The 23,831-nt window shown below is 45.8% G+C and overlaps 1 long non-coding RNA gene across 1 annotated transcript, besides 3 other annotated features; it reads left to right on the top strand.

The window, feature by feature from the left end:
- Positions 5,183–5,477: an enhancer, noted in NCBI's record as "tiled region #431; HepG2 Activating non-DNase unmatched - State 10:DNaseD, and K562 Activating DNase unmatched - State 4:PromP". NCBI's record gives its function as "activates a minimal TATA promoter and a strong SV40 promoter by Sharpr-MPRA in HepG2 and K562 cells {active_cell/tissue: HepG2 | K562}" and the evidence as "EXISTENCE:reporter gene assay evidence [ECO:0000049][PMID:27701403]".
- Positions 5,890–6,705: an enhancer, noted in NCBI's record as "OCT4-NANOG-H3K27ac hESC enhancer chr2:175652041-175652856 (GRCh37/hg19 assembly coordinates)". NCBI's record gives its function as "activates a minimal SCP1, AML or CMV promoter by ChIP-STARR-seq in primed H9 embryonic stem cells {active_cell/tissue: H9 hESC(primed)}" and the evidence as "EXISTENCE:reporter gene assay evidence [ECO:0000049][PMID:30033119]".
- Positions 6,068–9,799, top strand: LOC124907908 (uncharacterized). The gene is made up of 2 exons (XR_007087311.1): positions 6,068–6,144; positions 9,149–9,799. It is a non-coding gene; the product is annotated as an uncharacterized LOC124907908 (long non-coding RNA).
- Positions 11,364–11,971: an enhancer, noted in NCBI's record as "H3K4me1 hESC enhancer chr2:175646775-175647382 (GRCh37/hg19 assembly coordinates)". NCBI's record gives its function as "activates a minimal SCP1, AML or CMV promoter by ChIP-STARR-seq in primed H9 embryonic stem cells {active_cell/tissue: H9 hESC(primed)}" and the evidence as "EXISTENCE:reporter gene assay evidence [ECO:0000049][PMID:30033119]".

Below are 23,831 nucleotides of genomic sequence, written 5' to 3'. Positions count from 1 at the left end.
CCTGAGTCCCTACTGCAGGCCAATTAAATCAAATGCTCTTTGGGCAAGGCCCGGGCAGACGGCACTCCAGGTGATTCTGATGGGTCGCCATTGTACCGACTAAATTATGCTTCATTTCCTGTTAGTGTGTTAAAATGTTCCTGGGATTTGTTTTATTCAGGGATAGTAAGAGAGCAGACACAGAAATGACTGTCATGAAGGAAGAAGTTCATAGAGACCCCAGAAACAGGAGGCACGGTAGACTATGCAGGATTACATGGCAAGAACCACAGTCACTCAGGAGGCAGAAGAAGGAGGCAGAACATGGCCCAGAACCTTTATTGGGATCTCCAGGGAAGGATGCATGAGGCAGGGTAGGTAGCTGAGTGAGCTAGGATTGGCTAGTTTGAATAATTTCAGCAGGCTCTGGGCTATAGGAGTGGTCTCCATTTGTTGGGTACCTGGTCCTGGGGTGATTTAGAGCAGGGAGAATGTTGTCTGGTATGTGAGTTTGACAAAGGAGATGATTGGGGATGTGAGCTCTGGATGGGTTGGTTTATATGTCAAAGGTGTCCTCAAAGGGGAATTCTTTGCTCTGTAGGACTTAGCTAGCCCTGGGAGGAGCAGGCTCTCTACCATCAATGCATCAAATGCCAGAGCATCAAGAAAACAAAAATCGGAAACTATATTCCATACAGTTGATTGCTCCTACTTCCCTTCAAAGTCACCTCCCAGTTTCTGACTCAAATCTGACTGTCCTCAATACTTTCTTTTCTTATTCAAATTTTATTCTAAATTGCATAACTTAACCTAAATTAGATGTTCTTAGAGAAAGGAAATGGGACTTTATCAAATTTTATAAAAATCACAAATCACAAGGAGAATGAATCAGATGAACACTTATTAACTAAAATCCTTAATTAGGAAGACCAGGGAGGTTCCCGAGAAACACAGGAAGTCATTTTTATGCAATAGGCACTAAACTCAAGGACTTTCTGTTGGAAATGTTAACTTCAAAGATTCTGTATTTCTCAGAGTGCATTTGAAAAGACTAGCATCCCATGTACTAGTCTCTTGTACATGTGAGAAATATGAATTGTTATGAGAACTATGACAACCTCCATCAACCGAACACAGCTATAGGTCCTAAGAACTGAGACCACCTGTGTCAACATGACTTAGTTGTTTTGTCCAGGAAATCTTTGCCCAAGGCAGATAAGACTATGAAGCAATAATTTCACTTTTGCTTCAGAAACTCCCTATAGAGCAATCTACTTGAGACAGCACACTGCTCACCTGAGCAAACAGCTTGCTTACCAAACAATAGCTTATCTATCAAAAGTCCCTGCCAGACCCTGCTGGGTTGGCTAGTCTTAACTACTATATGCCCTGCCTTAAAAAACCACCTTAACCAACTTGAGCCGAGTCCCCCCAGAACCCTACAAAATCCTCCTGTCTTCCTCATCCCGAGACACGACTTATATGCTGTGGCTCTCTCCCTTTCCGCCTTGAGTTCTGCTAGCTTAGTTTTGCTTTATCAGCAGGTTTGGTGATGCATTAGATAGTTCAACAGGTATCCCAAGAGCAAAGAGAACGACAGTTAAACGAGCTTGGGAAATACTGTATACCAATTCCACCTGTGTGGAAATTAGAATCATGTTAGCATAATAAAGCTTCTGAGAAGTTCTGCATTTTAAAAAGTTGAGGAGATTATACAAACTGGCAACTTGTGTATGGGAAGCCTTGTTGTTCCTGCAAACTTACTAACTTATCTAAAAACATTTTTTTTTCTTAACATCAGTTTTAAAAACATTACTTTAGGTCGATGGATGAATGATTTATCAGAAATGAAGGATCCTGGCATCCTGCAGCTAATGGGAAGTGACAAGACGCCCAGGCTCCCCACGCTGAGAATGTCCCCAGTCCACCAGCATAGCCTCTGCTGGGCCTGCCCTATGCCGGGAGTTCCCATGTGCTTAATGAGTTTGAGTAGACTGGAATCCCCGGATCTGTCAACATACAGCCTTTCGCTGAGGCACCCCCAGCAAGGCACCCATCCACTTTTTCAGAGTAGGAGGAGCCAGGATGCCTTCTTGCCCCAGAGTCCCAAAGCCACTTGAGCAGCCTGCCCACTAACACAGGCCCAGCCCAGAACCAGCATTCAGTGAACACCCACCCGATACCCATTCCCACTCCAGATGGTGATGCCAGGAGATCAGAGGAAATCCACACTGAGAACCTTCACAGTCTCTCAGTCAGGACAGCTAACTTCCCTGTTGTTTCCACTCTGGAAACCCCCTGGTTTTGTCCCAGGTCTGGGAGAAGAAATTAATAAATGATCAGATAATTCTAGGATCTGATGCATTGTCTGTGGAACCGGTGGCCAAGCAAAGAGGATGCGTGGCTCACAAAATCAAGGTTATTCCAATTGCCAGTGAGCATTTTGCAAGTGTGTTTCTTAGTATGTCCCCATTAACAATCACTAATATTAATTATAGTGATTAAAAGGAAACATCTGTGAAGACAGGCTTGAATTCTTATAGCTCTGGCTGGGTATAGCCAAATAAGACAGAGCTGCCAGAGGGAAGCATCATCATCATGTCTCTAGGAAGGGAGGCAGCAAGAAGGAGGGAGGGAGAAAGGCGAAAAAAAGGAAGGAGAAAGAAAAGATATTAATAGATAGGCATTAACTTAAACCGTTCAGGCTAGGCCCTAGGACACTGATTTTGTCTGCCCTCTCCCTTTTTCCTCCCTCTCCCCCTTCCTTGCTCTTATTACTCTGGCTTGCTGCTAGTTTTCAGATTGCAGAGCAATGCGTCTACAGAGGAAGCCAGAGTTTTTCACTTTGCGAAATTCATGCTGTTCCAAGTCTACTGAACTGAACATGGATTATAGCAAAGTTGTTAACATTTTACCTGCCCACATACCACGAACCGCTTTTCTTTTTTCTTCTTCCAACTTTATGACGGGAAGAAGCAAAGGGTTTGGTGGAAGGTCATTCTGACGGGAGCTGAAAATTTCTCACAAGGAAGAAATGCCCAGTGCCCCTGTACTCCTCTGTAGTGGGGAGTCAAGTCTCAGAGATGGCCAGGAGAGGACTGGCCCCACTCAGCCTTAGCCTAAGGTGCAGAAAAGCTCAGTCTGCTAGGAGAGGCCTCCCCACCCCCCACCCTCACTCTATACCTGGCCAAACACAAAGAAAAGTGGTAAAGAAAAAAAAAAATCTCTGCGATCAGTCAGCAACCCTGGGAGCAACTTTCTTCCTGATGTGTTTTCCTTCATTGAAAGCCTGGCCCAATCAAAGACAATGCCAAGAGCAAGCTACTTAGTTCTCAGAATGCCCAAGGTCTTCTATAATGTTGTGGAAAAAGACTCCAGGCTTGGAACGTAAAAACAAGGCTTGCCAATTATAAAAACTGCATTGTGGGAGAAATGAGAAAGCTGGCCAGTCTGGGGCTGGGGCCCCCGAAATATCAAAATCGAGGGCTTGCTTTGATATCTACAAGCCCTGCAAAGCTTTCCTTGGGGTCAGCAGGGGAGGGTGACTACAAGGATGATGGCCTTCCGGCCACTCCCACAGGAAAGACCTCAGATGGGATCCCCGTGTTCAGCATGGTATGGTGGTAGACAAAAGGACAAAAAATAACAAATGCTGGCAAGGATAGAGAGGGGAACACTCGCACACTGTTGGTGAAAATGTAAAGTAGTATTACCATTATGGAAACCAGTACGGAGATTCCTCAAGAACCTAAACTAGAACTACAGTATGATCCAGCAATCCCACCGCTGGATATACATCCAAAGGAAATGAAATTAGTATGCCAAAGACACTTGCATGTTTATCACAGCACTACTCACAATAGCTAAGACAGCGAATCAACCTAAGTGTCCATCAACAGATGAATGGATAAATAAAATGTGGTGTATCCAAAATAGAATATTATTCAGCCATAAGAATGAAATCCGGGCCAGGCGTGGTGGCTCACGCCTGTAATCCCAGCACTTTGGGAGGCGGAGGCGGGCGGATCAAGATGTCAGGAGATCGAGGGCATCCTGGCTAACACAGTGAAACCCGGTCTCTACTAAAAATACAAAAAATTAGCCGGGCGTGGTGGTGGGCGCCTGTAGTCCCAGCCACTCGGGAGGCTGAGGCAGGAGAATGGCGTGAACCCGGGAGGCGGAGCTTGCAGTGAGCCGAGATCGCGTCACTGCACTCCAGCCTGGGCGACAGAGCGAGACTCTGTCTCAAAAAAAAAAAAATAAAAATAAAAATAAAAAACTCCTGTCATTTGCAGCAACATGGATGAAACTGGAGGACATTATGTTAAGTAAAATAACATGTTACTCATGTGTGGGAGCTAAAAAAAACCGTGAATCTCATAGAAATAGAGAGAGAATGGTGGTTACCAGAGGCTGGGAAGGGATGGAGGATGACGAGACGTTGGTTAATGGGGACAAAAATACTGTTAGATAGAAGGAGTAAGTTGTAGTATTCGATAGTATAGCAGGGAAGTTATAGTTAATCATTTATTGTCTATGTCAAAATAGCTAGAAGAATTGTGACTCTCCCAACTCAAAAATGTTTGAAGTGATAGATTTCCCAATCAGCTGACTTGATAATTACAAATTGTATACAGGTATCAAGATATTATACGTACCCCCATATACATGTACAACTATTATACATCAATTTCGTAAAAGAAAGACCTTAGTGAAATGGGAAAAGTTCACTTGTCGCCCTTGCAGGGCGTGCGACACGGGGACCGGCTTGCTTCTTCAGTGCCCCATTACTCAGGCCTCTAGGGAGCATACAGACGCGAAGGCTACCGGGCTCCAACCCCACGGCAGTGTCGAGGGGTGGATGTTTACAGCTCCTGAAGCCCCAGTGGGCGTGTGCTACCCTGCGCTCTTTTAGTTTTGTCGTCTATAGGCAGCTTGTATTAACCAGCTCAATTAGACCCTCTGCCTTGTTGCAACAACAGGGGGCTTTCTGTATCCTGGGTGCTTGCTTTGCTGTAACTGAAGAATCGGATCACACCTGGGCTTGGAGAATGAGTGCAAGATTTTGAGTAAAGGCAGCTCTCAGCAGATGGGGGAAGTCAGAAGGTGATGGAGTGGGAAGGCTTCCCCCCTGGAGTCGACAGCTCAGCGGCCTGGGCTCTCATCCGACTGCCACAGCATCATTCTGCTTCTGCCGGTCAGTGGCCTAGTTCCTCCGCCATTGTGCTCCTCTCCACGTCCTGCCATCTGTGTGTCTGCCTGCTAGGGCCTCAGGATTTTTATAGGCACAGGATGGGGGCGTGGCAGGCCAGGGTGGTCTTGGGAAATGCAGCATTTGAGCAGGAAAACAAAAATGCCTGTCCTCATCTAGGCTCGTAGGGGTGGAGCCCTAGCCAGGGGCCACGCCCTTCCCTCCCCCCCCCCCCCCGCCCCCGCTTCCGTATCACTTAAAGGGACCACGCTCTTCCCTTCGGTATCATTAGGAAGCTCAACAGGAAGGGAGGTGGGGTTATCATAGGCTAGCCATTCCAAAATACTATTTGAAAATGGGACTGAGACCGTAGTTTGGAAAGAAGTACTTGTTCTGAATGATCAAAGGGGAAGATGATCAAAGGGGAAGATGACACAAACTCTATAAAAGGGTCAGATGTCTGTTCAAGGAAATGAAGCATTAAGGATCTGATTATTCTTTAGGTTTTTAACTGATCAGGACTTGCAGTTCTTGTGTTACCAAGGGCCTGGTTTTCTGGTCAGCAGCACACAATTGTTTTAAATCCCAACCACTCATCCTAGTAATCCAAGCCCCTGAGTAGCCACAGGGGTCTTGCATTTCCCCGGGGCAATGGCTTGAGGGAGAGTCTCCTGCCCCTCTATGATTTTCAGGAAGAACTGATTCCCTGTCCCAGGTTAGATGGGTCTCCAGGAATATCCCTTAGTGACTAGAACAGAGCCCTCAGCCAGCCATCCTGGAGCTTCAAGCACCCTACTGCAGTGGGTGGTACATCTGGGCCCCATATGTTCGCAGGGAGGGGCTGAAGAGCCCAGGCCTACATTGCCAGGTCACCCACCCATTTGATGTGTGGTCACAGTGGAATCTGGTTGCCATGGGGATGCGAGGTTTTCTACTCAGGCTGTTTGAGAAGCAAATTTTTCCATTGTGTATATGTAAGCATACTTCAACATCTTTAAATTCCTTTTCTTTTTCAAATAGCATTCAGGGTGGATTCATACATTTAAAGAAAAATTCTAAAAGGCAATTTCCCAGAAAACAGGCTTTTGGAGGGTAACCAGGGTTCAGCCTTTGTTGAGGGATGAGGATAGGAAGAAGGGGCAGGGGCCACTTTTCTGAAAGCACCCAGGTCTACCCGCGCTGTTTAACATCTATCTCTGTGCTGCTGCCAGAGGCTGGCCCAACAGTAGCAGAAGCTCCAGGGATAGGCCAAAGAAAGCATTTTTTTCTTCTTCAACCTTCAACAAGGAAAGTTTACCTTGTTTTCTTTCTTGGTATTCAGTAAATGATTCCACAGCCCAGGCCTCTCTCCTCTATCTCAACACACAGGAACAATTTTTTGAGCTTCTGTGGACTTCTTTTTGGAATATGGTAAAATATACATAAAATTACCATTGTAGCCATTTTTAAATGTACAATTCAGTGGTATTAATTATATTTACAGTGTTGTGCCATCCATCTACAGAACTTTATCATCATGACAAATAGAAACTGTACCTGTGAAACAATAACTCTCAGCTGGGCGTGGTGGCTCATGCCCCTAATCCCAGCAGTTTGGGAGGATGAGGCGGGTGGATTACTTGAAGTCAGGAGTTCAAGACCAGCCATGGCCAACATGGTAAAACCCGTCTCTACTAAAAATACAAAAATTAGCTGGGGGTGGCCACACACGCCTGTAATCCCAGCTACTCAGGCTGAGGCAGGAGAATTGCTTGAACCCGGGGGGCGGAGGTCGCAGTGAGCTGAGATCGTGCCACTGCCCTCCAGGATAAGTGACAGAGCAAGACTCTGTCTCAAAAAAAAAAAAAAAAACTCTCAAGGGGCATGATAGCTACCTGCAGACCCAGCACTTTGGGAGGCTGAGCCAGGCAGATCACCGCTTGAGCTCAGGAGTTCAAGACCAGCCTGGGAAGCTTGGCAAAACCCAGTCTTTACAAAAATTACAAAGATTAGCCAGGTATGGTGGTGCATGCCTGTAGTCCCAGCTATTCGGGAGGCTGAAGTGGGAGAATCACCCTAGCCCAGGAGGTCAAGACCGCAGTGAGCAGAGATTGTGCCACTGCACTGCAGTCTGGGTAATAGAGTGAGATTCTGTCTCAAAGAAGCAAACCAACGACACACACACAATAACTATGCCCTTCTTTTCCTAGCCCCCGCTAACTACTGTTCTATTTTCAGTCTCTGTGAATTTGCTTATTCTAGGTACCTGATAGAAATGGAATAATTCTATAATATTGTCCCTTGGCGACTGGCTTATTTCCCTTGGCACGGGTTCAAGGTGCATCCATGTTGTAGCAGTCTCAATGCTTCATTCTTTTTAAGGCTGAATCATATTCCATTATATAGATGTGCTGCATTTTGTTTATCCATTCATCTGTGGATGGGCACTTGGGTTTTTCCACCTCTGGCTATGGTGAATAAGGCTATGGTGCACAAGGGTCTGTTTGAGTCCCTGCTTTCAATTCTCTTGGATATATAACCGAAGTAGAATCGCTGGATTGTAAGGTAATTCTATGATTCACTTTGTAAGGAACTACCAAACTATTTTCCACAGCAAGCCCGGGAGACTTCTGATTAATGCGTTTCCTGGAGCAGCTGAGGATTGTTTTCCAATAGAGTTTGGCAATGAGAACAATGGCATCTATTTTTTAATTCTCTTATTCACTTTCTATTTTTCTCTGAAGGTTTCTGTATGTCTTCTTTGTTCAAGATTCTCCTATTGACTGTTAGATATAACATATCTGGGGGCATCACTGAATTGATAATTGATTGATTGGTGGACAAAAACTGGCAACAAGGTGGGGTGAAGCAAACATTCTCCTGCTTTTCCAAACCCTCCTGTGGATCCAGCAATACTTGGCTTCCACCGGTCATTCACAGGGACCTTCATCACAACATCCTCTCTCACCCTCCCCACTCCCAGCTTCTGTCTCCCCCAGTCCATCCTCAGGACCAATGGAGTGTTCCTTCCCTGGACTCATTCTCCAAACTTCCACCACACTGGAAGTCTCTACAGCGTTGTCTCGTGTTTTCACTGTTATTCCTAATGTTTTGTCTTCTTGGGGCAGCATATTCCCACCCCTCCCACTTCCACACATACAACAGTCCCAGATATAAGGCTAAGCTCATCATAGAACTTGGAAAGTAAGAGCACACTGACTCACGACCCTGGTCATAGACTTGGACAAATGCTGCTTGGAGGTCCCAGAAGTAAGGAAGCCTGGGGTAAAGGAAGCAGCCATTTCTAGACATGGAGACTGGATTTTGCTTTTCTCTTTTGCATATTCTCATAGTGAATATAAAATATTCAAAGAAAGACATGTAACTGAAGAGTTTAATGAATAATTTATAAAGCAAACATCTTTGTCACCACCACCCAGGTTAAGAAGAAAAACATTGCCAGGCACCCCAGAAGTCCCTGTCCACCCTGGGAAAGAAAGTCTGGCTGATTCTGATTCCTTTCCTTCCCCTGGGTATCCGTATCTTGTGTTTTATAAATTTTTTTCCATATTTTTGCTACTTTTGTATGCATCCCTAAAAAAAATATGGCTTTGTTTCTGAACTTCACATGAACAATATAATGCTGTATATATTCTTTTTCGATTTTCTTTGTTCACTCGACTTTATGTTTGTGGGTTATGACCATGTTGTTGCCCTAGCTGTAATCAGTTCATCTTTACAGATGGATAGCATTCCACTGTACAAATATAGCTCAATTTATGCAGGCCATCTATAACTGTTGATGGGCATTGGGTTGCTTCCAGCATGGGGCTATTAGAAAAAACACTCTCATGATCATCCGTATACATCTCCAGATGCAAAGCATGTGCCTAGGAGCAGGGTTGCTAGGTCATGGTGCCAATGTATCTTCGCCTCTCCTAAATAACGAATGCTAGCCTGTTTTCCTAAACTGTTGTGTCATTCTCACTCCCACCCTAGGTGAGAAAGTGCCTACTACTCCTTTGCTCTCCAACACTCAGAAAATGCTCTGCAAATCCATGAACACAGAAGGCTGCTTATCTATTTCACTGGAGCTAAAAATGTTCAACAGCCACATCCTTGACCTTGGAGATCTCTAAGCTCAGAGGCCCTTGGAGATCTTTCCACAGGATCTCCTGCCCCAGTTTCAGAATAGTGGGAGTCAGGGGAGACTGGAACAGAGATGACAATTGCAGCTGGGCAGGAAGGCCCTGAGGGCACTTAGCAGTCACCCTGGAGTTGTAAATGGCAGAGCCTCGCCAGCTACAGACCCGCCAGCCAGTTGCACAGCATACATCAAAGGCTCGAGATGCCCGGCTGTGGGTTTAAATGGAGCCCAGGTGTAGCCTGCAAACTCCCTCTCTTCTCCCCCACTGAGCTACACCTCCACTTTACACGCTGAGCTTGGCAACCTCAGCACGACCAAGGCTGTGGGGTCAGAGTTGCTCTCAGTCTTGCCAGCTAGGAACGCTCAGTTAGGCTTGGTGATTAGAACCCACCCTATGAATAGAGCAGAGATGCTGTGTTAGACCAACTACTGTTCCAGAATCAAGTGATTCGGATCATGTGTGTAAGCAAATAAAAAGTTCAATGTTGTGAATTGAGAAAAAATTTACGTACCTCCTTATTACAAATTTCAAGCAGAAGAGATAAGTACGAAGAATACAAAATCACTTAAAACTCCACCATACGGAAACAACCATCACAAACATTTTGTTCATTTTCATTCCATATATCTCTCAATGCAAATACACAGATGGAAAAAAGAATGGAAGGAAGAACTGAAGAATGGATGGATGGGTGGAAGGATGGACAGATGGACAGATAGATGGGTAGGCAGGTGAGTCCGTAGATGGGCACACAAGTTATAGATGTAATTCTAGAAATAATCCTACAGTACATGTTATTTTGAACTGAAAATGTGTTCCTTCTCTTTAGAAACTATTACCTGTTGCTTTCTTCCTGTAAGTACAGGAGTAAGATATTCTTAATGCAGAAACCTGGAGATCATAGAACACAAACTAAAAAATGCACTCATATTCCACCACCAGAAGATTACTGTTAACATATATGCATACGTATGTATATAGGTATGTTATGGACTGAATGATATCACCCCATAATTCACGTGTCAAAGCCCTAATCTTCAATGTGACTGTATTTGGAGACAAGGCCTTTAAAGAAGTAATTAAGGTTAAATGAGGTCATAAGGCCCCTAATCCAGTAGGGCTGATATCCTTATAAGAGGAGGAAGAGACACCAGAGATCTCTCTCTCTCTCTCTCCATGTGTGTACAGAGAAAAGGTCATGTGAGGACACAGTGAGAAGGTGGCCGTCTGCAAGTAAGGAAGAGAGCCCTCACCAGAAACCAACCCTGTTGGCACTCTGATCTTAGACTTCCAGCCTCCAAAACTGTGAGAAAATAAGTATCTGTTGTGTGATCCATCCAGCCTGTATTACTTTATGGCAGCCCAAACAGACTCAAACAAAATACAATGTAATATTTAGCAATGCACCTCTGTCACCTACCTCCATGGTCCCTTTTTCAGTCTTTATTCTGTTCAGTGGCCAAGGGCCAAGGACTCCCTGTGATGCCAGCCTCTGGGCACCAGAATGGAACTACTCAAAAGGGCAACAGCAGCCCCGCAGGCCTCCCCATCCTCCCACCCAGTGTAGGCTCAGTAATAACTGAGTCTTCATAGCTACAATGCCTTGAACCAGATTTTAAAACAAACAAACCATGCATGAAATTGATACAAAAAATAAAATGCTGCTTAAGTCTGTCCCTAGATCCAGCTCCTAGGGGAGTCCCTTCTCCCCTACAGAATGCATTGGCCTCTGTCATCACACCACCTTCTCCGCCATCAACACAGGGATCGGGAGGAGACCAGACATGTTGTCCAGACCCAGGCTCTTGTGAAAGGTCTTTGGGTTTTGGACAGCAGTATCCAAAGCTTTCCAACTTCTTCCCTATGCTAGGGAGAGGCGAGGCTCTGTAAGTGTAAGCCTAAGGGGGTGAAGAGGCCTCGTGCTCACAATCCCTGTCTCCAACCTCATTCCTTATTCCTACTAATCTTCCTGGTGCCCCTTCTTATCCAAGCCCCTCATGTGATCCCTACACCCAGGGCACCCACCACTGCATGTCCTCACTTGCATCAAAATATCTCCAGCTCCCATCCTTAGAACTGTCGCGTGAGCCATCCCTTAGTAATATGATGGTCAACTCCGTGAGGGGATTGAGCTTGTCATATATTGCTGTTCCCAAGCTACCGGTTTGCATTTTAAATGGGTCTTTCTGAAAGCAACGGTGTACTCTTAAAAACATGGCTCCCCCCAGAAGCTGCGTGCCATGAGCCTGATTGTTGGGGCTCTGCAGGGGCCTGCAGGTGTGTGGACGCTTGGATCATACTGAGCAAGGGGCTACCTACCCCCTCTATGCCTGAGACCAACCTGACTTCTAAGGAGATGGTGGAAGGGGAGCAAAGAGAGAGGATACCTCCGCATTTCTGCTCTGGGCCCCGCTCTGTGGGGGCGCAGAGCAAGCTCGCTGTGTTCAGCCCAGCCGCAGTGCCAGCTGGCGAGCTTGCCAGATCTTTCTCTATCCCCCATGCCACCTCCTCCTCTCACCTAAAATGGGAGGAGAGGGGGAGGAAATGCTGCATTTTCCTCCTGTGCTGAATTTATCCCGACTCAGACCGGCTGCGGAAGCCAGGGAGAAGATAAACAAAGAAGTCTTGTTATAATTTTTCAAAAAACTCCCAGTGCTCTGCAGCCCACTCCGTTTTCTTCCTACCTTGCTTAGGGTGGAACTCCGCCTGGCTTCTGCTGCTCTGTCCTGCATCTGAAGGGTGACCTCCTTGCTGGAGACCCTCCTCCTCCGTGTGAGCCCCAGACCCTGGCTGCAGCTTTATTTCACAGGTGGGGACTGAGCTCCGAGGCAGGTGCTTGGCATTTTCTAACCAGTTAACACCCTTGCTGTGGCCATCAGTTGGCCACTAGCTGCACCTGCCTCGCTGTAAACTGGAGAGCAATGGCACAGGACTTTACCTCATGCCCCCTTCCCTCCCTATGGAGGCCCTAAGGAGAGATACAGAAGGAACAACAGCCTGAGGAAGAAAGAGAAGTGAAGTGAAGGGCCTGGATATCCACCAAGCGGAATTTGGTGCTTGGACCAAAGGAGCTGGGCGGTAGGGGCAGGAAAGGACAGCCTCATGAGGGCCAGGCTGTTGTCTCGTTTAGTCTTCATTGTAGTCCGCTGGTGATAAAGAGAGCAATCAGTAGCTTTCCTCCTGGAGAGTGTGGGCTCTGCATCGGAATTCAGGCATCGTGGATATTTACACCTTGCCGTGGGGCACAGGCACATGGTTGAGCTGGGCCAATTAGAGACACACAGACTTAAGTGAGATGCCAGAGCTGAGAGTGGCAGGAACAACGAGGGACCACCATGGCAGGGGGCTGCAGGGGGTGGAACCCTGTGTCCTCAGTGGCCTTGGAGGTAGCTGTTCCCCTACGGTGGCCAGGCCCAGCACCAGCGGTACCCATAGGGGACTGTGATGTCCAGGAACCCACAGCAGGCGTCCCAGAGCCCTCCCGGCCCTAGGCTTCTGGTGTGGTTCTGCCCATGAGCCTGGCTGCGCCAGAGCCCTCCTGCTGTTTTCCAAGCTCACGCTGCAGCCCTCGCTGACTCTGAGCCACCCCATAGCCATTCAATACACTCCTTTTCCACTGAAAAGGCAGATAGTGAGAAACGTTGATCCAATAATAACATGAAGTCCATGAAAGCCTGTGGCTATGAAGAATGCTGAGCCATTGAATCCACCAGAGATAGTAAAGGGGGCCTTGAAATATTCTGAGGCTTGTAGAAGGGTAAAGTAAATACCTAAGGTAATTGTGATGGATACTGCCTGCTGAAAACAGCCCTTGTTCGTTTCTGCTGCTTACATCTGAGAGCTCCAGCTGATTTCCCAGACCCCTGGGCTTTGATTCCAGAGACTTCCACCCTGCTTATCTCCATATGCTTTCCGCCTGTCTGAGGCCAGAGTAGACCCACTACACTTAGATGAACCAAGCATATCACACATCACATAAGAAGGATAAAAGCCTCCAAATCTTGCACCAGCCTCTGCCCTCCTACCCTGACAGCCGCCACTTCTACCAGTGGGGGTTTTCCCACCAATCAGGCGAGTAGGTTGAGGAGAAACCTGTTCTGTGGGCAAGTGAGGACTTCTGAAACAACAAGGCCACCAATCAGGATGAAACTTGATGTCCTGAGAAGCCCCCACACAAGCCTCCTGCGTGGCTTCTGATCGGTTTGATTCTAGCCCTGCTGTTCTAGCTACCTGGTTACTTCTAAATGGGGCTTTTATTACTAAAAGCAAGGTTCCCAGAGCCTGGAGTGTCTTCCAACATTACAATCCACATTGCAATGGTGAATAGTCACCATCATGATCACTCAAAGGCCAGGCAGGTATTTCCTTTTGCACTTGCCCTTTTGCATTGGCATTTTTCTCTCTGCCTAGTCTTTTAGCACCTGCCTGGCAACATTAATTATTTAAAGGGAGGTCAGGGAGGGCCAGAGCATCCCTCTGTGCCTTGAAATTACTAGTTTGCTTCTACTCTCAGGAGAGTCAGAATACAGGATTCCCAAGTCTCTGGGAGAAGGGTCACATAACAAGAAACAAAGGGTTTCTTAAATCCATCCAGATTTGTAGGGAGGGATTTGTGGAGGGACCAAGGGGCTCTACTGGAAATAAGACCTTAGTGACTTCTTTTGAATATCTCTTGGCCTCAGAATAAAGCGATGATGTTCCTAGACCCAGAGGCCTTGAGCAGACAGAAGCTGGCCTCCGACTGTTAATCCTCGAAGTCCTTGTAATTCACCCACAGAAGGGGGCTCTGAAATCAGTGGAACATGTGGGCTCTGAGAGCATCCAGTCTCCTATTGTCCTCAGAATCCCACCTTCCTGATGACATCCAGATGTGTCATCATTCCACGGGTCTGATTAGCTGTAGAATGTGGTATTTCCGTGTTTCCAGGATTCATCTGAGTTAACTCTGCTGCTAATTGGATTTGTATCTGGCAGTGGTAACATCAAAAAAAAAAAAAAAGGTTTTGTAGTCAATTAGGTTTCCCTGGAACACACAGGAAGGGGTTGTCCTGTCAGCGCTGAGGTGTCTCTACCTTAATGAGCTGCCCCAGACAAAGGCACAAAAGGACATTATCAACCCTGAGTACCTGTCTTTAGTGGCTTCTGTTGAACAGGAAACTGAGCTGGATCTGGGCACATGCGAGCTGGCTTTACTGCACTCTCAAATCGCCTACTTCCCTGGGAACACATCTGAGTGTGATCAGGTGCATTAGAGCCACTTTAAAAAATCATCCCCAAGGAAATGAAATGCACAAATGGTATTCCTGCAGCCTAATGACCCAGGGCTTGGTTTAACTGCACCAAAGGCAGGAAATGGCCACATACGAAGCCAGTTACAGCCCCCACTGCCCCCATAACCAAGCCACATGGCACACACCTGGAGGAAGGGAAGTGGAATTCTTCCTGCAAGGTTTTTTTCGGGTCTAGAACAAATTATTCTTCAAATGTCTTAACATCCTGAGTGTGGGTGGAAGTGATGCTTAGTTATATCTTATGGGAAAGATGGCGTGTTTTAGAGAAGAATCATCTAGCTGGCTGGGGACTGCAGGAAGGGCCGATGGTCACTGAGGGAAAACAGCAAGGCCTTGGCTTTTTTTTCCCTTTGGGTCTTGATGGGTCAAGTTCTGCCACTTTTTTAGAATACTGGGGGTTTCCAATCTCTGCCCCAAAGATCTGGAGGCACTTCCTGCTCGAAGAGAACTGGAAAGGCAGGGAGAGTTCCATATTCGTCACTCAGCAGCAGTCACACTGCCAGGACTGGGAGTGGTCTGGGAGGAAGTGGGCTCTCTCTGGGACAGTGGGGAGCCCCAAGAGGAGTGACCTTGTGAGGAGGTGGCTTCAGTCACAGACAGTGGTGGGAGTGAGCCAGGCTGTGGTCAGTCCGTGGTGAGGAGGGATTCCATCTAGGGGCGGGCAGCGCCCAGCATGTGCTGTGCCAGGCCAGCCCCTGGGCCTGAGGTCAGCCTATGCTGTGTTTGCCTTCAGGATCCCATGACCCTTCTGTAAATGTGACGCAACGTGGTCCAACCACTGCTGCTATGGGAACTGGAACTGCACATTTCCTGCCTTTCATCTTCAGCGTGTTAGGAACGAATATGTCAAAATAAGCAAACCACAGCACCATCACTGGGGCGAGGGGCAGGGCTGTGGCTCTGGGGGAGCAGAGAGGGCTCCAAGCAAGCTGTGCCAAGAGAAAAGCCTGGGGCATGTTTTCTGCCCACACCAGGCCAAGCGAGTCTTCTGCTGGCCGAGGACAGGGGTGTTGCTCAGTCAAGGTGCACAGCCTGTGTGGGGACATGTGCTATGGTTGTCAGAACCCAGCTAATTCTGGGTTCTTTCTGGATGATGCTGGGAAAGCTTCGCTGTGGAATTTTATCATTTGCTGGAGAGCATGAGGCCCTCCCTTGATCTCCTGCCATAGTGGGATTCTGGAGAAAAGCCGGGCTTTGACAAGGCAAATTCAGAGAGCATAAATGCAGACCATGAACACAGCAAGCATAACTTTTGGGTGATGACACTGATCTTTAAAAAATCAAGTATGTTAGAATTTATGTCCCAAAGTGGGGTATCCTTGTGGCATCTCCTTGGGGATGGCAGGGAAGAAGGAAAGGGTGTGCACTTACCCTATTCCAATCCAGGTGGAAGAACTGCCTTATTAAACTGTGAGAACATTCAGACACCAAATACAGAGATGGTCCCAGATCTTTGCAGAGCCCAGCATTGCCTGGCTTGCTGAATGTTCTCCTTAATCCCAGTTTGCTTTCTCTCTCTAGCCCCCACCCTACCCCACATCTTCACTGCATCCGCACAGCAGGCAGCCAGGCTTTTCCTTCAGCCTCTCATCCCTGAAGGCACGGACGGCTCTTTCTCCCAGACACCAGGCCCAGTGTAAAGATTCAGGCCACATCAACACCCAGGAAGCTCCCTCATATGTCTCCCTTGGGTCTCTGACAACAACCTCCTATTTCTAAAACCTGCTTCCCAGTTCTGTCTTTGAATTGTTCTCTCCCGATTCCCTTGCTCTCACTTTCTAAGCTTGCTTCCTCTGGCTCTTTCTTTGCCCTTCCTAAGCCATATGGGAGGGGGGCAGATGATCTGTCTCTGTCTCAGGGAGGAATTTCCATCTGCAAAGTATCAGTCTTTATACATATGGTACAAGAATGAGCTCTGGTTTAGGACAAAAAGGGATACACAAATGCTGTGTCACTGGCAGGCTGGGGATGCTTGTCACAGAGCCAGGCACTAGGAACAAGTCCTTACTTAAGGTGACCATTCTAATCAACGACAGGGTCCTCCTTAACCAACACCATGCCAATTCACCTTCAGAATTGAAATGAGCACAGAAGTACATGCCTGCAAATTTTTCAAGTATTTTTCTCTAGGAAATATGAGCCAAAGATCAGGCTCTGGGACTGATATTTATATTTTGAAGAGGTAGAACTTGAGGGGCCCTCTGAGAGGGGTCAGCAGCTTCGACCTTAATGCAGGATTAATTGCATCAGGTCTGGAACTGGCCTGGCTAAAGCAAAGACTATCACAGCCCCACCTCAAATTAGGGATGCCTTCTGGTGCATCTCTTCCCACCCAAAACGTATCCTGAAAGCCCCCATCCTAGGAGCAAGGAGGAAAACACTGGGACAGCAGCCGTTTGTCCAGGACAAGGGGGGGCCTAGTCATCCTCTGACCCTTCAGTTCAGTGAGACTCTCATGCTCAGAAAGGTTTCTCATGACTGCCTGGGCTCCTCATGTTTCTAAGAAAGGGGGTGCGGGGTGGGAAGAGGATAGAGCCAAGGCTGTGTGTGCTGTTTTACAAGTCATCACAAGGAAGCTGAAAGGGCCCTGGAATCCTATCTCCTGCTATCTTGGCTCAGGTTCTCAGCATGAGCCAAAGCTGCCTTTATTGTTTTTGAAACGAAAAACAAGCATCATAAAGTTAACTTTCACCACAACAACTTTAAGTACTTCTGAAAACAATTTTACAGAAAAACAGAAAAGAACCAGACTGCACAAAATTGGTGCAACCACTAAGAAAGAAAACAGGTTTTATTCCTTTGATATTTTGCACAGATCGGGAGGAGGGGATAAAGGCATTGCATAGAGTTCAGTTAGGAGGCTGAATATCTGCAGCCTTATGGAATTTCCCAATTCCAGCAGGACACGAGCCCTCTGAAGGGCACTGTCTCTGATTTTGCTGGAGGACATCTCACTTTGGCTGAATTCTTCCCCTTATACCGTCATCCCTTGGAGCTGCACTCCTCAAAAGTGACTGCTGGTGGCGCTGTAACAGCAGCGGATGAATGCATCCTCCAGGGGCACAGGGATTGCTCAAAGGGGCCACAGATAGACAGCACTCATCTTTGAGGTCTGATATTTTAAGCATTCATGTGAATTTTGCATTCATATTTATTTTCACAGAAAGATCAAACTTTATATTGTTCATTGGTTGAACTCGTCTATAGTCCTGGCAGTGGACCACATAAAGACAGGAACTGGAAATGTGGACCAAAGTCAAGGGCAGAAACTCTCTCACAGGACTAGGACTGGACCTGAGCAAGACTGTGTCACCACACTGGGCAGGTGAGGGGCAATGGGTGCAGTGGGGGGTGATAAATGGTGATCCTAGTCAAAGGCAGGGACTCAGGCACCAGGAGCTGAGAGGTGCCACGACCAGGTCTGGAGAGTAACCTGGACAGCTCTGGGAGGATGCTCTCAGGACTCAGGGACCTCCTGGCCAGTGCGGCTTAGCTGAGGAAAGAGGAACTTCCTCAATGGCCCCGCCCATGCTGAGCTCACCCATGCTTCTCAGGATCTCACCTGACAACAGGATGAGTCCCCTTCCCTTGGGTTGGAGGCTTCCTGTTCCTTCTTGAACAGTCCCTGGAGTTCCTATGCAATGACAGGGGACTTTGACATGAGATGGGAGTAGGCTTTGGACTGCCTCACCCAGAAGCCAGGTGAGGCTCCGTCCCAACACTTCTCAGGATGAGTGTCATCACATTTTTTTCTCAGCCGGTTTCTGGCTGGAAATCTGACAGCTAAGCAGTCATACTTCTGGGTTTACACGCTGTTATTCTATCACTGAAAGTATTCAACAACATTTGGGTTTTAGTCATAACATAGCTAATGCATAATTTTGTTTGCTTTGCAGCCAATTAAATAAAGAATTGGAGCACATTAAATAAATGGTTAAATCGATTAATTTATATTTTTCCAAATCCTCAAGTAAAATTGAAGCTCCAGGCAGATGCACTATGTTTACTCAGGAGCTCCAGGCCTCCCACCCGGGGACTGCCAATGTGCCCAGAACTGTGACAAAACTAAGCTAGTACCACTAATGCATTGATTGAGCCAGAGCACACAGAAGGGACTTGTAGAAGTTGGCAATTTAAACAGTACTGATCATGGCCATATAATAGGCTAACAAGGCTAATGTACTTAAAATAGTATGACAGATGAAGTAGTGCTTGAATAAAATTCAGCCTTAACTAGCCAATCTTTAAAAGTCTAGCTAGATAATTAGGGAGCTGACACACATGTTTTAATTTGTTGTAAGGCCTCTGTAACAAAGAGAGAAGGTAAAACGTCATAAATATTCAACACATCTACACTCTTTCCACTGAACTACAGAACACTAAATCATTCTGTCACATACAAGGCCCATCCTCCTCACCCGTAATTAGCGAAGCATTCCCAAGACCAAATTACATAGTACTTAAGAAAATTATGAAAATGAGAATGTAAACAGTATCACATTTGACCACAGCACTTGTCAAACATACCCTGCATATCACGGGCTTTCTCTAAAGAAACCTGTTCGTGCATTTATTAGTGTCAAAAGACAAAGTTACAACAGATTTAATTTAAAGATCTTAATTGGCTTTTATTTGCAAATCTAGAATATCGGGCAACACCTCATTCTACAAAATAGAATGAATGTTCCCATGAGCCGAGCAAAGGATGTTGGTTTTATGGTCAGAAAATGGTTGAGGAAAGCAGAAACGGAGAACAAAAAGCAGATTGGTTGTTTCCAAGTTACTTTCTTTGGAAAGTTTGAAGCAGAGGGGCCTTCCTATCATGCCAGCAAAAACTGGCCTGTTTGGGGATTGGGCTGTTATCTCCCTGTCTTTCTTGATTTCTTGGAAGATCGGATAAACAACTCAGTTTTGGCTTGGTGGTGTGAACTTCAGCATGAGTGACTCCATTTTGGTTTGGTCTGTTAGGCCTGGTGCAGGAGCTCAGTCCAAGTCAATGGCCTCCTGTAAATTTCATGTGACATTACTCTACACGTTTTGGGACTAAAAGAGAGCATGCTTAGATTATTGTCATGTGTAGTGTCCTCACAGGCACATTCCACTTATGTATCAGAAACCCTTTATGAATTCTGTTTAATCTTCGCCATTTACCCAAAATGATTCAAAAGGGCTTACATGCTTTGGAAAAGACTAAAGGCTGTCTCCCAAACTTCTAGCTCTCTGATATTTGGCCACTTTTTAGCCAAAAGGATATGCAAGTCTTTGTTAGAAAATCGTGTATTAACGATTAGTGGACAACTAACTACTATTGTCTTAAACAGGAAAAGAAGAGAAGGAAGATTCCGTTAAAAATTCCAACAATATTTTAACATTTCTTGTATTGTCAGCTTTAGGATATTTTGAGAGCCTTGAAAAACTTATCTTTGGCAGTTTTTTAGCAGAAAAGCTTACTGCTTATCATTTTTCAGTATGTAATGAATATAGTAACTATCCCAGCTAGACGTGAGGTTTCAAAGGCTAAATTCAGTCATCGATTTGATTGCATTTTTTGCACCAATGCAATTAATTCCACTGGAAGATGATAGAAAAATTTCATTACACAAAATGCGTGAGAGGTGAAAAATAATGTTTAACTAAACTCTTTACCAAGGCTATTATAGCTTTGAGGAAAATCACTTAAAAACAAAATTAAAAATTCTAAATTATCTGTGACTCTGCTGAGATAGACATTATAAAATACTGTAATATTAGTGCAAATTTTTTTTGACGCGAATTCTTTATTAATTTCATTTTTGATCATTCTTGACATAGTTTCAACAGTAGAACATTCTTGGTTCAAATTAAAACTAATTAAAAGTGATTTAGGGAACACAAGTGAATAACAATGTTCACAGTTAGCACCTCTCAGAATAGAAACTCAAGCAGCTGACAAAATGGAAGTTGAGAAACATTCATGACTTTGACTATTCCAAATCACAGCAACGTTTGCTTATGTAACTGAAATAAACCCAGGATCCTACATGGTCCAGTCTTGGCACTGGTTCAGTCCAGCAGAAAAATAGAATTGAAAACAAATCTTTCTTGCCTTTTGAGAAAATGCCAAAGGTAGGAGTGCATTTTAAATATCCAACAAAGCGCCTCAAAAATAATGTTTGCACTCCTCTCCCACTCTCAAGTTATCTGGCCAATTATATCTCCTCCCTCTCTATTCCCCCAACCTCTCCAGACACCCAGACACTTTCTCAATTCTCTTTTTTCTCTGCCTTAGTTCTTCATTTGTCATTGAACTTAGCCTCCCAAGCTTCTTTAGTTTTCCTTCAGTCTGTTATTACCCAGACTGTGTGTAACAAAGAAAAGTTCAAGACATACTTTTTGCTACCAGCACGGGGTAAGGAAGGACACATCAGATTCTGCGCCACACTCATTTTTCTTGGTTTGTGTCTGTCCCAGAGAATATGAGAAGCTGGCCATGGAAGAATTCTGCCATCAAAGCATTTCCTGCATTGATCAAGTGGTTGGACCCCAGAGCTGCCGTGGCCAAGGCCTGGCTTCGGTTCGTGTTGACTCTGCGTGGTCCTGCAGCCACAGTCCACGCTTACTTCTGCCAGGGGTCCACTGGGTCAGAAAGTACCCCAGAGACAAAGTATCCCTTGAGAGAAAGAGGCGCAGATTTTTCTCCTCCTTCTGAAAGGAAAGTTAAGAGAAAGATTACATTTATAATTTAATGTACGCACACGTATATTTTAAAAATCAAAGCACAGCTGTTCTAGATGAAGGAAGGGTGGGAAGCAGGGAGCACCACCCTTTTGGCCACTCCTCCCTGTCCACGATCTCTCCTCCTTTCCTTCTCTCATGGCCACCTCAGGAGAGCTTCCTGGAGCACAGTTTGAACCATGAGTGTAGTGGACAGAGCACCGTGTTTGGGGTCAGAAATATCAGATTCCCCTCCTGGTACTTGGATCTAAGTGAGCTCAGACACATGACGTATGTCACGTGCACAGCTGAGCTGCTGCAAGAATGAGGTGGTAGCTAACAGGATTGCAGTACAGGGTGATTTCCCCTCTACCGTTAGACCCAGAGAAAAAGGGAGATTGTGAAGCAGGACGGGGGCAAATCCATCCCTGCCCCTGGAAGAAACAACACCAAGGTCGGGGGAACCCATGATGAGTGGTCAGCAACCTCTTTGTATGTAGTTAGAAGCCTTTGTGTAATCCAGTGGTAACAAACCCAATCATTACTACAGACTGTCAGCGTGATTGCATAGCACTGAGCCTGGCTGAAAAAAAAAACAGAAGAAACTGACCATTGCAGACAGAGTGAGACATGACAGAGGCAGGTCATCTGGTGTAAACCGGATGAAATCTCACGCCTGAAGAAGCCTAGATTTGCACATGAATTGCCTTTGGCTCTACAGCCCTCCAGTACAATTACTCAGAACTGTAAGCTTGTGAAATAGAAATGCAAAGTCGGGCTCTTTCAGGGGCTTAGAGTTGACCCCTCTTTCTTGACTCTTCTGAGGAGCACCTGTAGTTCCTGGGGTGCCTTCCTCACCCGAAAGGGCCTGCTGGGCTGGCTTGCTGGAGTTTCCAAAACACAGGCCCTGGGGGCACAGCAGGAGAGACACCTCATCCGGAGAGAGCCTCTAGCGCTCGGCCACCGCTTTAATAACCATTTGTTGCCACCTGCTGGCCACTGGACCAAGGCACTCCATGCTGGAAACAGGAGTTTGGCTAAGAGTTAGCCAGGCCCCAGGGAGCTGCACCCAAATGCAGACAGCCTGTGTTTTCTCCAAAGAAGTGACCTTGGGAGGATCCACAATTATTCCATTCATTAAGCCACACAAGAAGGTGGATTTTATAAAAGAGATATACTTCATTCATGCATTAATTAGTCAACTGCAAACACTTTTGGAGCTACATGCAGGTACCCTGCATGGCACTGGGGGTGACTGATAGTCACATTTTATTTTATCCCCAAATGACATTATCTAGTATGATCTTCTACCCTATTCATTGAATTAAGCTTTACATCCATTCATTCCCTCATCAGCAGTTATTTACTGACTGCCTACTGGATGACAAGCTGTCAGCCAAAAGCTAAGGATACAGCGGTGAGCAGAAACAGGTGCCATCTCTGCACTCACTGGGTTGCAGTCTAGTGGGAGAAACAGACGTTAATCAGATAATCACACAAATAAATGTAACATATGCACCCTGACAGGTATAATAGAAAAATATAACCGTGAGAAGAGCAGGTCTAAGTGACTTTGGTTGATTCTAAAATGGAGATTTAGCTATTTGATATGCGTTAAAATTATTTAACATGTTTTCATTTTCTGACCCAGCACTTCTACTCTTAGAAACTCATCCTAAGGCAATAGTTAGAAAATTGGGCTGATTTATATGTATAAGGATGTCCACTGCATGATTATTTATAAAAGCAAAAATTAAAAATAAAAAATGAAAACATCCAATGGTAAGAAATTGGTTAAATGAATTATGATACATTCAAAAAAGAGAACATTCTCAGGCATTGAAAATGAAAATGGACCGGGCGCGGTGGCTCGCGCCTGTAATCTCGGCACTTTGGGAGGCCAAGGTGGGCGGATCACCTGAGGTTAGGAGTTCGAGACCAGTCTGGCCAACATGGTGAAACCTCGTCTCTACTGAAAATACAAAAATTTAGCCAGGCATAACGGCATACACTTGTAATCCCAGCTACTCAGGAGGGTGAGGCAGGAGAATCGCTTGAGCCTGGGAGGCAGAGGTGCAGTGAGCTGAGATCATGCCACTGCACTCCAGCCTGGGCGACAGAGCAAGACCCTGCCTCAATTAAGAAAAAAAGAAAAAGAAAAGAAAAGCATATATAGTAAATCCCATTTGAAATTGTTTTTCTGAGACCGAGTCTCACTCTGTTGCTCAGGCTGGAATGCACTGGTTAAGCTATCACAGTTCACTGTAACTTCCAACTCCTGGCCTTAAGCGATCCTTCTCCCTTGGCCTCCCAAAGCACTGGGATTATAGGCATGAGCCACTGGGCCCAGCCCCCTCTGGAACATTTGTAATGTTGTTGATTGGATCAAAACATTATATCTCTATTATTGTTGAATATTATCATGCAAATATGCTGTATGCTGTTATTTTTTTCTATTCAGAAAAAGGCACAAAACAACAACAACAAAATTCTTTTCACTCTGCTCCCACCAGCTCCCACCTAATTTCTTTGTTACCTTTTTCAGTAAAA

The sequence above is a fragment of the Homo sapiens genome, chromosome 2 (assembly GCF_000001405.40).
Source record: "Homo sapiens chromosome 2, GRCh38.p14 Primary Assembly".
Lineage (NCBI taxonomy): Eukaryota > Metazoa > Chordata > Mammalia > Primates > Hominidae > Homo > Homo sapiens.
This window is presented reverse-complemented; position numbering and strand designations above follow the sequence as displayed.